The following is a 13,646-nucleotide window of genomic DNA, read 5'->3' as shown; positions in this document are numbered from 1 at the left end:
GGTATTAAAGGTGTCAAGGCAGGGAGTTACCTCCTTTGGGAACTACACATAAAGAAGAATGGCTAGGGCCTGGTGTATGGGATTGGGGTGGGAAACCCAAGGCAGGAAGAAGACAGATCCCAAGAGGTCTGGTGTGCATGCTGAGGGGATCAGGTGCCATCTCAATGCCATGGGGAGTCATTGAAGGAAAAGCAGTTAGAGCCATGGGATCCAGTTCACATATGATCAATCACCCAAACAAAGGAAAGTTTACTCAACAACATGTTTTCATTTGGACTTCATTTTGTCAAAGCATGAAAGTGATGTCAGAAATAGAAATGAGTGTATTCATGGCACACCACCACACCCAGCTAATTTTTGTACTTTTTGCAGAGAACTCCTGACCTCAAATGATCCACCTGCCTCGGCCTCCCAAAGTGCTGGGATTACAGGCGTGAGCCACTGTGTCTGGCCTAAAACACATTTTCTAAGATTTCTTTACTTCTGGGCCACCTCCACAAAATTTTATGGTTCTGGGAACCCCTATCTGAAAAAGCACAGGTATCAGCAATAAGTATAATGAACACTCACTAGAGGGAAAGTCATTTTGGTTTGGGTTGGTTATGGAAGCAGTGTCATATGAAAAGGGCTGGACTGTACTGCAGAAATAGAAGACCCACAAATTGCTATGGCTTATAACAGAAAAATAAAGATTTAGATGTCACTCATATGTCCATTATTGAACAGTTGTGACTCTGCTCCCTGTCACCTTCCCTCCAGGACCGAAGCTGACAGAGCACCCTCTATCCAATCATTGCCTGTCTTATGTCAGAGGGAAAGGAGATGGCAAATCATGCATCAGCCCTTAAAGCTCTGCCCAGAAGTGGTACATTACCATTTCTGCCCACATTTCACTGGCCAGAGCAGGTCACATGATATGCCTGAGTTCATTAGGGCACCAGATGTTGGGCAACCAATAATACAACCCACCACTGAGGTCTTTACTAAGAAGATGACCTGGGCCTTAGGGAATGGCCATGATTTACCTGGTAGACACAGCAGGGGAGCAAAAGGAAAATATGACAATATTTTTATGAAATCAAGACTTGGCCACATGAAACTTTTTTTTTTTTTTTTTTTTTTGAGACTGAGTCTCGCTCTGTCACCCAGGCTGGAGTGCAGCGGTGCGATCTCGGCTTACTGCAACCTCCACTTCCCAGGTTCAAGTGATTCTCATGCCTCAGCCTCCCAAGTAGCTGGGATTACACGCACCACCATGCCCAGCTAATTTTTGTATTTTTAGTGGTGACAGTTTCACTGTGTTAGCCAGGCTGGTCTCAAACTCCTGACCACAAGTGATCTGCCCTCCTCAGTCTTCCAAAGTGCTGGGATTACAGGCATGAGCCACCACACCTGGCCGTGACACCCTTAGAAAACTAACTTCAAGGCAGAATGCTTCACAGTGACAAATCTTAGGATGCCACTTTATAGAAATATTCTGAAGAGAGAAAAACCCAGGTGAGTCAGAGCAGCCTGGGGAAACTTCTTAGAACCAGGATTTTGTGGAATTCAGAGGATTTTAAAAGGCAGAAAATCCAATGAAGCCATTTTAAGCTAAAACAATGTAAATAAGGTGGGGCTGTGCCTAGGGTACTAGGGTGCAGAAAGGAACCTGCCTCCTGTGGGCGCATTTGTGTTAGCAGGTAGTGGGAAATTCGGGTGGAGGGCAGGTGATGGAGGACCCTGAACACCGAGGGAAGACTCTGGATGTTATGTGCCAATATTTATCAAGAAAACGCAGTCCTGGAGATACACCAATAATTTTTGAAATGTTACAGTAGATACTAATTGAAACCTACAGTGCGCCAGGCACCGTTAGGTTAGCAGTGAACAAAACCAGCAACCTAAACAAAATGGTGAACACACCAGGCAGTGCCCTTGTGGGTTACATTTTGGTGAGACAGATAGTATATAGATAAACAAATATACAATCTCAAAGAGTGAAAAAGTTGTGAAGAAAGATGACACAGGATTAGAGAGTGACTAGGGTGTATATGGTGGCAGTGGTGGTGGTGGTGCAGCCAAGGGGTGGGGTGGAGGACAAGACAGCTGTGAAGACTGGTGAGCATGAGGTAGTCCCTGGTAACAACCAGCGCTCCACACCCTACCCTCAGAGTGCCATTGCAGGGTTAGCATACTCCACTGAGTAAAGCTTCCTTGTCCAGGCAATCAGTTAGAAGAGCCAGGAATGCTGGGCCCAAAGAGGTTGGCCAGAGAGAAAAGTGCAGGGGACATGGTTCCCAGATCCACGCAGAACCCCTGGGGACCACTGAGTTCCACAACCTCAACAAGGCCCAGGGTTATACTAACACAGCAGGTGGCCTCATTTTAGACCCCACACCAGAATCTGTGCAACGGGAAATTCCAGTGCAGCAGAAGTTGGAGTCAAATGCCTGCCTATTTCTCATTCCATTTTGGGAAGCCTAAACAGGGAAGCCTTCTGTGTTCCTCTCATTCCCATATTAAACTGAACTGCAAAACTCATGGCTCTAAGTAGACTTTAGAATTGACCTAGGCAGAAGAAATAGCCCAGCCCCTTCATTACTTCAGAGCAGAATAGAGCACTTACTCTTATCACAGCAGCACAAGACCCCTGGGACACCTGACTCCCTGAGACCCTTCCTTGACAGGTTCCCCTGTCCATAAACAAAGTCAGGAATTCCCAGCCCACTACACAGAATATGACAGTTAAGCTTCATTGGGATCCTGTGGCTGACCTGGGGCAGGCTAGAGGGCATCACATCTGTACAGGCTCTCAGCTTTGCGAGTTCAGAAACAGACTGGGTGTTCATGTGGACTGGCCCAAACCTGAAACTCTACAGAAATCGCAGTGCATGCCAGGTGGTTTGCCATGAAAAAAGGTGTGTGTCCCAGAGACAGGGTGTGTATGGTACAAATGGATTTTGTCCACGTCTTTCCTTCCCTTGCCAGTCCAGCCACCCTACTGTCTTTTTTTTTTTTTGTCAGTTTTTGTTTTTTTTTAATTTAAGTTCTGGGATACGTGTGCAGAGCATGCAGGTTCGTTACATAGGTATACATGTGCCATGGTGGTTTGCTGCACCTTATCAACCTGTCATCTAGGTTTTAAGCCCTGCATGCATTAGGTATTTGTCCTAATGCTCTCCCTCCCCTTGCCCCCAACCCTCCAACAGGCCCAGGTGTGTGATGTTCCCCTCCCTGTGTCCATGTGTTCTCATTGTTGAACTCCCACTTATGAGTGAGAACGTGCTTACCCTACTTTCTTTTCGGTTTGTTTTTTTGTTTGTTTTGAGACGAGTTTTGCTTTTGTTGCCCAGGCTGAAGTGCAATGGTGCAACCTCCGCCTCCTGGGTTCAAGGGATTCTTCAGCCTCAGCCTCCCGAATAGCTGGGATTACAGGCATGTACCACCACGCCCAGCTAATTTTGTATTTTTAGTAGAGACAGGGTTTCGCGATGTTAGGCAGGCTGGTCTCAAACTCCCAACCTCAGGTGATCCGCCTGCCTTGGCCTCCCAAAGTGCTGGGATTACAGGTGTGAGCCACCACGCCCGGCCTACCTACCCTACTTTCTTAGCCTATTTGCTGACTAGCATTCAAACTGAGTGCAGGGAGAACACCTAGCAGCCTGATCCCAGAAGTGCAGCTACTCCACATTCCACAGCTCTGGGGCAGAGTGACTAAGGCTCACCTGTAGTCCTTAAATGGAGAGCAATTTGGGATGTACCAGCTAATCAAATAAAACCAAGGCAGCAAACAATAGCCATCACTTCTCAAACCATCCTCATTGTGCCCCTCGACTCCCTCCTTCCATTTCCAGTTCTCCCCAGAGGGGAGACAGACAATAACCTCAACAACAGAAGCCAGTACACAGCAAGCTTGCTTCACACGTTCACGTTTCTTTTGTTTTTCTTTGATGTTTTTTCTTTGATGTTTTCCATTTTCCATCTCTGAGGTGATTAGCAGTACAGCATAGTGGTTAAGAACAGAGCAGGGACTCCACGGATAGACTACCCAGTCTTGTCCTTTGTTACAGTGGTTCTTAAGCTTTCAGGTGACTGGGAATCACCTGGAGAGCTTATTAAAACGTAGATTTCCAGCCGCGTGAAGTGGCTCACGCCTGTAATCCCAGCACTTTGGGAGGCCAAGGTGGGCAGATCACTTGAGGTCAGGAGTTCGAGACCAGCCTGGCCAACATGGCTAAACCCCATCTCTACTAAAAATACAAACATGAGTTGGCCGTGGTGGCACACATCTGTAGTCCCAGCTACTCTGGAGACTGAGACATGAGAGTCGTTTGAACCCAGGAAGTGGAGGCTGCAGTGAGCCGCGATTACTCTAATGCACTCCAGCCTGGGGGACAAAACAACAAAGCGAGACTCTGCCTCAAAAAAAAACCCAAAAAAACAAAACAACACAGATTACTGCTCCCCAACCCCAGAGTTTCTCATTCAGCACATCCAGGATGGAACACAAGGATGTGCAGTTCTAACTAGTTCCCAGGTGATACTGATACTCTTGGTACCATGACCACACTTTGAGAACCTCTGCCTTATGAAGTTTCCAAAGACTGTTGACTTGTGTGTGAAAGGATAACCCTATACCTACCACTTGTGGCTATTAGGGTTAAATGAGTGAATATACGTAAAATGCTTTGAGCTGTGAATAATAAAATGCAAGCATAGCTAGTCTGGAAACTTCGCCCATGCCTTTTGTCTCTGTTTTGTTTGTTAACCTCCATTTGTTTTGTTTGTAATAAACCACTTAGCCAGGTACCTCTTCCTCTCCTTCAAATACAGAGGGCGTGTGAACTTTGGAGAATGAGTGTTTAAACTGACCTAAATAATATGTGATTTTCAACTCTTCTGTGGATTCACTCATTATTCAATGTGGGCTTTGCGTGCCATATGTGATAAACTTCTTGTGTGTGGGGTATAGTGGGAATGTGCATACGTGAAATTGATGTCAGATCTTTGGATCGTTGTTAGGGAAGATAAAAGGAACTCACACTACAGTGCAGCCTTGCCAGTAGGGCTGTTATTCCCACTTACGTGGAAGAAACTGAAACTCAGTTCATTGAGGAAACTCTCTCAAGCTTGGACTTAGGTCAGAGGTGACTTGTAAGGATACACACAGAGAAACATCCAAGCCTGGGAAACCAGCTGATCTATTACTCTGTGTACCAGAACTTTATGTATCAGACCAAACACACAACAAGCCTCACGAAAAACTGGAATGTGCTTCACATCACTGCAGCTTTGTCCCAATGACTGGGCCACCCAAGGTCTCTGCTTCTCCCTAGGCATGTCCCATTGAGACTCTCCACATAGAGATAGTCTGATGGAGTTGTGACATTAACACCCAATGTGGAATGTCCCGGTGGGGTGGCCTCGGATTCAGTTGTCTTGTTCTGTAATCAGTCATAGCCAGGAAGAAAGCCCAGTCTTGCTCCAGGAGCAAACCGTAGCAGCATGCTGCTGAAAGAACTGCCTGGGGACTTTTTCCCCAGAGTGGGGTTGGCTTTGGCCTGTCTAGTACTTTCAGGGACATTGAGGCAGCCTTAGATCCTCAGAAGAGCACAGATCTTTGGAATCAGACAGACTTGGATTTGAACCCTGTTTCTGCCACTTAAGTTTCCTCAACTATGCATTGTGGCTATCACACACCTCACAGGTGTGAAGATCAAATAACATAAAGTGCTTAGCAGAGTGCCTGGCACATAGTATCTGCACTTAATGAATGATAGGGTTTGGTTTTTTTTTTTTTAAATTAAAAAAACTGGAAAGATGGAAAGGTGAAAATAATTACTCAGCTTTATCATCCTATCATTTAGCCTCTTATCCCTGACAGTGTGCCATTTTCAATCCTGTAGGGATGCATTCATTATTATTAATTTTTTAAGAGACAGGTCTTGCTGTGTCCCAGGCTGGAGTGCAGTGGCACAATCATAATTCACTGTAACCTCAAACTCCTGGGATCAAGGGATCCTTGCACCTCAGTCTCCTGAGTGTAAGGTTCTTGTATTGGTTGGAACCCTGAGAGCGCGCCAACAGAAAACACGAGGCGGTGTGAAGCAACATGCTGTTTTAATGAGCACCTGGGTACAGGCAGGCTGAAGCCTAAAATGGCATCAGCCCCAAGTGAGGACAGGGCAGAGGTTTTATAGTCTCTTGTAAACAGGAAGTGTCCTAGTCTGACGTAACTGCTATGTTGTACCCAGGTGGCCTGTTTCTCGATCAGGGGTACATGTCTTCGTCCAGGGTAGGTGTCTTCCTGCCGGCTCTCTTCCTGCTTCTGCTATCTTGCTGACACACGCTGCTGACACAAGTGGACTTGCGCCTTGGGACTGGGCCTGAGAAGGGAGGAGTTATTCATCTCCTTAAGCTTTCAGGCCCCGGGGAGAATCTTATACCGCGTAGCTAGGATTACAGACACATGCCACCACACCCAGCTAATTTTTAAAGTTTTTGTAGAGATGGCATCACACTGTGTTGCCCAAGCTGGTCTCAAACTCCTGGCCTCAAGTAATCCTCCCACCTCAGCCTCCCAAAGTGCTGGGATTACAGGCATGAGCCACCACACCTGGCCTCATCCATTATTTAATTTAAGGCTTTATATGCTACGAAGCTATAGGTTTTTAATAGAAAGTCTGTTTTACATGGTTGTAATTATATAATTTTGCATTCTTTTTCCATACTATAAAATATTTTAATGTTATAAATTCTGTACGTAATTTTAGTGAACATGCTATAATTTACATAAAATTCCTTATCATTGGACACCTAACAATAGAGAATTGATTGAATAAATGGTAGTGCATTCATATAATAAAATATTAATCAGCCATTTAAAAAGGTGGATTAGAAGTATACTTCTTAACATATAAACATGTTCACGATTATGTATAAAATGAAATGAGTGTACCTAAATATCAACTACCTCTCAAGTCTGTCTGGACATTTTCCTACCTCAGTCTCAGCAACTTTCAAACTTTAATGAGCCTCCCAATCACCAAAGGAACTTGTTAAATGCCAGTTTCACGCTTTACCCCAAGAGTTTGACTGAGACTGGGGCTCAGGAATTGGCACTTTTACAAGGATCCCAGGTGCCTCTGATGTGGGAAAGACACCTCACCTATTTCTGCCTGTTGAAGCTATACTTAATTTTCCAAGCTTCTCCTTCTTCTTTCTCCTGAAGTCCTGTAGTATTTTGTAGCACTTGTCTGCTTTCTTGTCTTAGAGATCTTAGCAAATGCTTCTAAATTGTAAAACTTTTCCTGATCCTCCAACCAAACCTAGTTATGCACCCATGTCACAGCCCCAGAATTTGTGTTAAACCCTGTGTGAGTTGCTGAATATAAATACTGAAATCTCTGGAATCCAAACTTCATTTACTTTGTGGTGGAGAGAGAGTGGCTGAGTACTTCAGAACTCTTTAGAACACCTGTTATAGCAGGAACTTTTGGGAATAAAGGTGGTCTTTCTAACCTTGATTTAAAACAAAAACAAAAACAAAACCTTGTTTAGATTACTTTTACTTACCTGACAGTCAGGTTGTGAAAAGTAAATAGTTTGTCCTTTGTGCATTTGCTCTGGTCTAGGCCAGAGATAGCCAGTAAGCTGGAGAGGGCAGTTAAAACCCTTCAAGAGGCCTGTCATTCCAAAGAATAGTTTTCTTCAGGTCTGTTGGTTGGTTTTCATTCTCAGACTGTGTCACTGAGGTTGTTCAAGGTAAGATTCTTATCTTGCAGTTCACTTAGGGACCACTTATGCTAAAATTGAGACTGAGTTACTCATCAAAGTACTTCTTCACTTAGATTTTTATCAGTGTGATTTCCCTCCTTCTTTAAATAATATTGGATATCCATATCAAGTCAGGTTTATGTCATCTTACATTATCTTTTATGTAATAGGCCAGCTTGCAGATGCATAGTTATAAATAACTATTGATAAATATTATATTGAGATGACACTGAAATTTTGTCCTTGCTTGTAAGAGAACTAGATCATATTCTGTATAATTAGTTAACACAAAAGAATTCCTCAGAAACAAACTTTAAAAGCCAGGTATAACAGCTCACTCATGAAAAGTTCCTTGTTTCATATGAAAATGGTAACTTTGTAGAAGTAAAGCTCCAGACAACAAAGAATTGACAGGGTTGGGGAATGGAAGGTTAATGAAATTGGTTAATCAAATGCTTCTGATGGGGAATCACCACATGTAGTGTACTTGTCCACATGGCAAACTCGGAATCACTCTTCAGAACCTTGTGTAGAGGCATCATCTATAAAACCCTGCATCTGTAAGGCTTTTTCATCAGCCCCCTCCTTGGAAAAAATTTCTTTTTTTATTCTATGCCCACAACAGTACACTACACACACATCTATCATATGTCACACTCTAGTATATGCTTGTGTGTTACTATTATCCAATAGATCAGAAATTCATTGGGCATAGAGCATGTGGCTTATTTGTGCAATCTGACCCAGGTTCAGTGCCTGGATATAGTAGTATTCATTAAATAGATGTATGAATAAGAATTCTGCACTGAACAGGGTACATAAATCATATAAACTGCATTTTGTGGGTGTTTTCTGAGAACTCCTGCAGTTAAATTTAAAGCATCACCTTATGACAAATTTCCATAAAATATTGTTATAATAAATTATGAATAAATGTTGAAAATAACAAGCCCAGTATCTGCTGTTCCCTGAGTCCCTGATGGCAACTGCATGCTCCCCAGTCTGTGGGACTCCTGATTTAAAGAGCTAGATCTGAACTTCTGCAGAAACCTGCTCAACATTTGCCCATTGGTTGCTGTGAAATTCCTCTCCTGGGCTCTTAAATTCCACAGAGGCTTAATTATTACAGATATTTAAACTTTGTACATACATGACGGATATCAAACATACCCACATCTCTAAGGTAAACTGTATTAAAAGTGCCAGACAATTTTAAAATTGAAAGGGACTTCGTCATTTTTACTGGTTAGGAAACCAAGCCTCTTAAGAGACAAGCAGTTTTTGTTAGTGGGAGGAGCACTAGAATTGAAGTCAAATAGACCAGAGTTCAGTTCTTGGCTCAGGGGCTCAAATCACAGCCTCTGATCGGCAGTGTGATCATAAGCCCTTTACTTAATATTTTTGAAGATCAGTTTTTTCATTTGTAAAGTTTGGTTAATAATCCGTCTCAGTGGGTCACAACAAGGGATTACTTGAGATTACCTGAGCCAGAGCAGCACACATAATATCTGCACAAAGCAAATCCTCAGTGAGCTTTTGTCTCTGCCCTTTCTTGCCCAGATCACACAGAGCTAAGACTTAGACGCTTTCTTTGGGTTGTGGTTCCCAGTTCACCTGACAGGACTCACACATATCAAGGATGCTCCCAAGGGGCTGTGTCACATCAGCATTTAAATACAGAATTCAGGATCTCCTGCTTTAAAAACAATCTCCCTTCTGAGTTACTCTTTTTAAATTTTATTTATTTATTTATTTATTTTTGAGACGGAGTCTCGCTCTGTCGCCAGGGCTGGAATGCAGTGGCGCGATCTTGGCTCACTGCAAGCTCCGCCTCCGGGGTTCACACCATTCTCCTGCCTCAGCCTCCCGAGTAGCTGGGACTACAGGCGCCCGCCACCACGCCCGGCTAATTTTTTGTATATTTAGTAGAGACGGGATTTCACTGTGTTAGCCAGGATGGTCTCGATCTCCTGACCTCGTGATCTGCCCGCCTCGGCCTCCTAGAGTGCTGGGATTACAGGCGTGAGCCACCGTGCCTGGCCCTGAGTTACTTTTATTGCTGTTGTTTTTTTTTCTTTCCTTGTACTGCGAGTTATGACACCCTCCCAGTCAACCATCAACTATAATTTAACTTTATATAATTGTGTGAATTAGCAAGATCCTAGGAGGCTCCAGGATCTCAAAGGCTCCAGGATCTCAGGGTAATGTATATACACATTTTAGAAGAGTAAGATCTACATCGCCTAATAAGTCTTCAGCTTTTAAAAATCACATTCTAAAATAATAAGTGAAATATTTGTGCTGAATTGAAAGGGTTTCCATAAATTCTGACGGTAAACGATGAGTGTTTTAAGCATGGAGATGTTAGTCATACAAACTTAAGTCACCATGAAACAGGCGATCAAGTGGGGGAAGCAGCATCCTGTTTCCTAGTCTTACCAGAGTTCATTTGTCATTTTAAGAGACAACTTACTTTTCCATCTTTTCTTCTTTTCCTGTAAAGGTAGAAACCTGTGGGTTCTTGTTGTGGGGCGGTTTCCAAAGGAACACAGAATTGGGATTCCAGAGTTCAAATACGTGGCAAATATGCATGGAGATGAGGTACGTATGTGGCTTGAATTTCTGAAATGTCACCAGAGAAGCTTCCCCTAGGGTCTCTTGAGCTCTGTATAAATGCTACCGAGGAAGCCTGGAGAAGTCTCCAGCATGCATTGTACAAAGAAGCAAGGCCCAGAGAGGTCTTCCTGTGAGGCCTGTGGGAGGTTAAGGAATCAGGGTCCAACAACCACCACAGCTGTATGGTTGTGTACCCAGCACCCTGTCAGAGTAGCTGGAGCTTGTTTTGTGTTTGGGGCCGGAAGAACAACAGTTCCCCAGCCCTGAACTTCTGCCAGCCAATCCCTGCATCTCCTTTCTGGGTTAAGTTTTCCCACCTCCTGGTCAGCATGAAGGTGACCCAGCAAAGGAGCTGTATTGTATCCGAACCCACAACCATCAGAAACTCCCAAATAGCTACCCAAATTCCTGAGATCTGGCTTTTCAAATGCTTTTGTTACTCTCTCTTAAATCTAACACTCATTGTCTTCAGTGCTCCAGTTTAGACAATCACACTTATGATTCTCTCCTACTCACCATTCAACAAACACTTGGCTGGGTGCAGTGGCTCACACCTATAATCCCAGCAATTTGGGAGGCCAAGGCAGGTAGATCACTTGAGGTCAGTAGTTCAAGACCAGCCTGGCCAACATGGTGAAACCTTGTCTCTACTAAAAATGCAAAAAATTAGCCAGGTGTGGTGGCGCATACCTGTAATCTCAGCTAGTCGGGAGGCTGAGGCAGGAGAATTGCTTGAACCCAGGAGGTGGAGGCTGCAGTGAGCCAAGATCGTGCCACTGCTCTCCAGCCTAGGCGACACAGTGAGACTCCATCTAAAAAAACAAAACAAAACACAATTTTAAATTCCTTAATAATATCTTGCCTCTTTTCCAACTTAGCAGGGATAAACTCTCCTTTTATTTTTAGGTTCTACAAAATACCATTTACCACTGTTACCTACCCAGCCATTCTTGCCAGGCAGTTGAAGATGTTCACCTCTGTTTCTCACCTTGCTTCCTCAGAATATTTTGAGACCATGACAACTGAAATATTTTCTGTTTACCAGGACTCTATAAAACTGAGCGATCAAAGAGTCCCCAGCCATCCCAGTAAGGAAACTTTGCACAGGAATGTGGGTATTACCCTGTAAAACACAACTTATAACTTTAGGGACTTTCTCATTTACATACATATTCCAATAAGTACTACCTGCTGACTTGTTAAAACACTTCTGGATTTGCAATAGTATGGGTGGCATGCTCTAATCAGTGCTGAGCTTCCTGTTCTGGCTTAAGCCCTCCCCAAACTCTATAGGAACTGGATCTACCCTTCATGGTACACTCCGCCTGCCCTTGCCAGGCATGCTGCCCAACCTGTCCTGCTGAGAGAGGATACTTCTTGCAGCTGCAGCTAAGATGCAAGCACCTGCCCCTAGCAAAGGAATAAGTTTTTGAACCCGATTTTGGGGTGGGTGCAAGTTTAGCCCATCTGTGACTTTTTGAGCATCACGGGCGGCTTCTTTAAAAAAGACTACGTTGCAAGGAGTCTGACCAAAGTTAGTTTTAATAAAACAACTGTTCGTTATAGACAGCAGCTCAGACTGCGTTTCCCTTTTGCTATCTTGTCTATTGATCGAGGTCCCTTGATCAAGGTCCCTCAGAATGCTTTTTTTTTTTTTTTTTTTTTTCCGATGGAATTTCGCTCTTGTCTCCCAGGCTGGAGTGCAATGGCATGATCTCGGCTCACTGCAACCTCCGCCTACAAGGTTCAAGCAATTCTCCTGCCTCCGCCTCCTGAGTAGTTGGGACTACAGGCATGCACCACTATGCCCAGCTAATTTTTTTTTGTATTTTTTTTTTTTTTTAGTAGAGATGGGGGTTTCACCATTTTGGCCAAGCTGGTCTCGAACCCCTGACCTCAGGTGATCCGCCCGCCTCAGCCTCCCAAAGTGCTGGGATTACAGGTGTGAGCCACCGCGCCTGACTCAGAATGCATTTGTAACAAGAGACATATGGCATTCATTGTCTTTAGTAGTTTTTTTATTGCTGGCATTTCAGAGGTTCCAGCTATCTACTCAGAAATTAGTCCTCAGAACTGAAACTCCCAAAGATAAGCAAGAGTCCTTTCCGTCCCCTACCCCCGAATTTGTTTATTCTTTCCATGCACTTTCCTAAATTTCTGGCATCTTGTTGTCTGGTGTATCGTTCAAATCAGGGCTCGCTAGTGCGCTCTGATTCTTTGAGAAATGCTGAGGGCTGAGACTAGGCAGCGGGGAAAAGTCCCAGTGTATTTTGGGGTGGGAATCTGAAGCACTTTTACCCCCTTATGTGACCCAGCTCGTGGCAATGTCTGGGGGCTCTATGGGGCTAGTAAGAAATTTATTATTCTGAATTTGAGACCTTATCTATTCTGTCCTCCCCATGCCGCTAGGAGCTGAAGAAAGTGATGGCTTAACATTGGAGCAGAGAAGTCCTTCTGAATACAGGATATAACAACCCCCTTTTTCCTCCCATAGATCTTTTGAAATTGAAAGCATTTTTAAGAAGCAACAGAGCTAACATTTTAGGGCAGTGATTCTTAACCTTTTTTGGTGTATTCCTTGCTATTCTGTTATAAATTTGACCTGACTTCAGGGTCTGTGGATTACCTAGGAGTTTATGGACCTTAGGTGGAGAATCCCAGCAGGGAACACATACACACTGAGTGGCAGGGTGGACAGAATTGGCCACACTATTTTTAAAATGGGACCCCACCCCCACTGTGCGTGTGTGTGTGTTTGTGTGTGTGTTTCCACACTTAATACTATGGCTAGATGACAGGAAGCATCAGCTGCATCAGGGAGACTCAGCTCTGCTGATTACACCTGCCATTTTCCCCCATGTATTTTTATTTTACTTATTTATGCCTTGTTTTAGAATTGGGTCTTTTTTTAAATTAGAAATTGTCTGGTGGCCAAAAAGCATATGAAAAAGTGTCTAACAACACTAATGATCAGAGAAATGCAAATCAAAAACCACAATGAGATATCATCTCATACCAGTCAGAATGGCTATTAATAAAAAGTCAAAAAATAACAGATGCTGATGAGGCTGCAGAGAAAAAGGATCACTTACACACTGCTGGTGAGAATGTAAATTAGTTCATCCACTGTGGAAAGCAGTGTGGTGATTTCTCAAAGAACTTGAAACAGAACTACGATTCAACCCAGCAATCCCAATATATACCCAAAGGAATATAAATTGGTCTGCCATAAAGACACATTCACACGTATGTTCATTGCAGCGCTATTCACA

The 13,646-nt window shown here is 43.7% G+C and overlaps 1 protein-coding gene across 28 annotated transcripts in view; it reads left to right on the top strand.

The window, feature by feature from the left end:
- The window catches only part of CPM (carboxypeptidase M), a 121,273-nt gene that overhangs the window by 67,319 nt on the left and 40,308 nt on the right, over positions 1 to 13,646 (top strand). For 18 of the 28 annotated variants that reach the window (XR_001748580.3, NR_182142.1, XR_001748577.3 and 15 more), the window contains one exon: positions 10,262 to 10,359. The exons of 8 other annotated variants lie outside the window; for them this stretch is intronic. Coding sequence is in view for 14 of the 20 variants with exons in the window: in NM_001413393.1 (NP_001400322.1) it covers positions 10,262 to 10,359 (98 nt within the window). In the remaining 6 variants the exon portion in view is untranslated. The remainder of the gene's footprint in view (positions 1 to 10,261; positions 10,360 to 13,646) is intronic. 2 more of the 28 variants (NM_001413395.1, NM_001413396.1) reach the window with 1 other exon arrangement.

Source organism: Homo sapiens, chromosome 12 (assembly GCF_000001405.40).
Source record: "Homo sapiens chromosome 12, GRCh38.p14 Primary Assembly".
Taxonomy (NCBI): domain Eukaryota; kingdom Metazoa; phylum Chordata; class Mammalia; order Primates; family Hominidae; genus Homo; species Homo sapiens.
The sequence above is the reverse complement of the archived record's forward strand: the minus strand, read 5'-3'. Positions and strand labels throughout refer to the sequence as shown.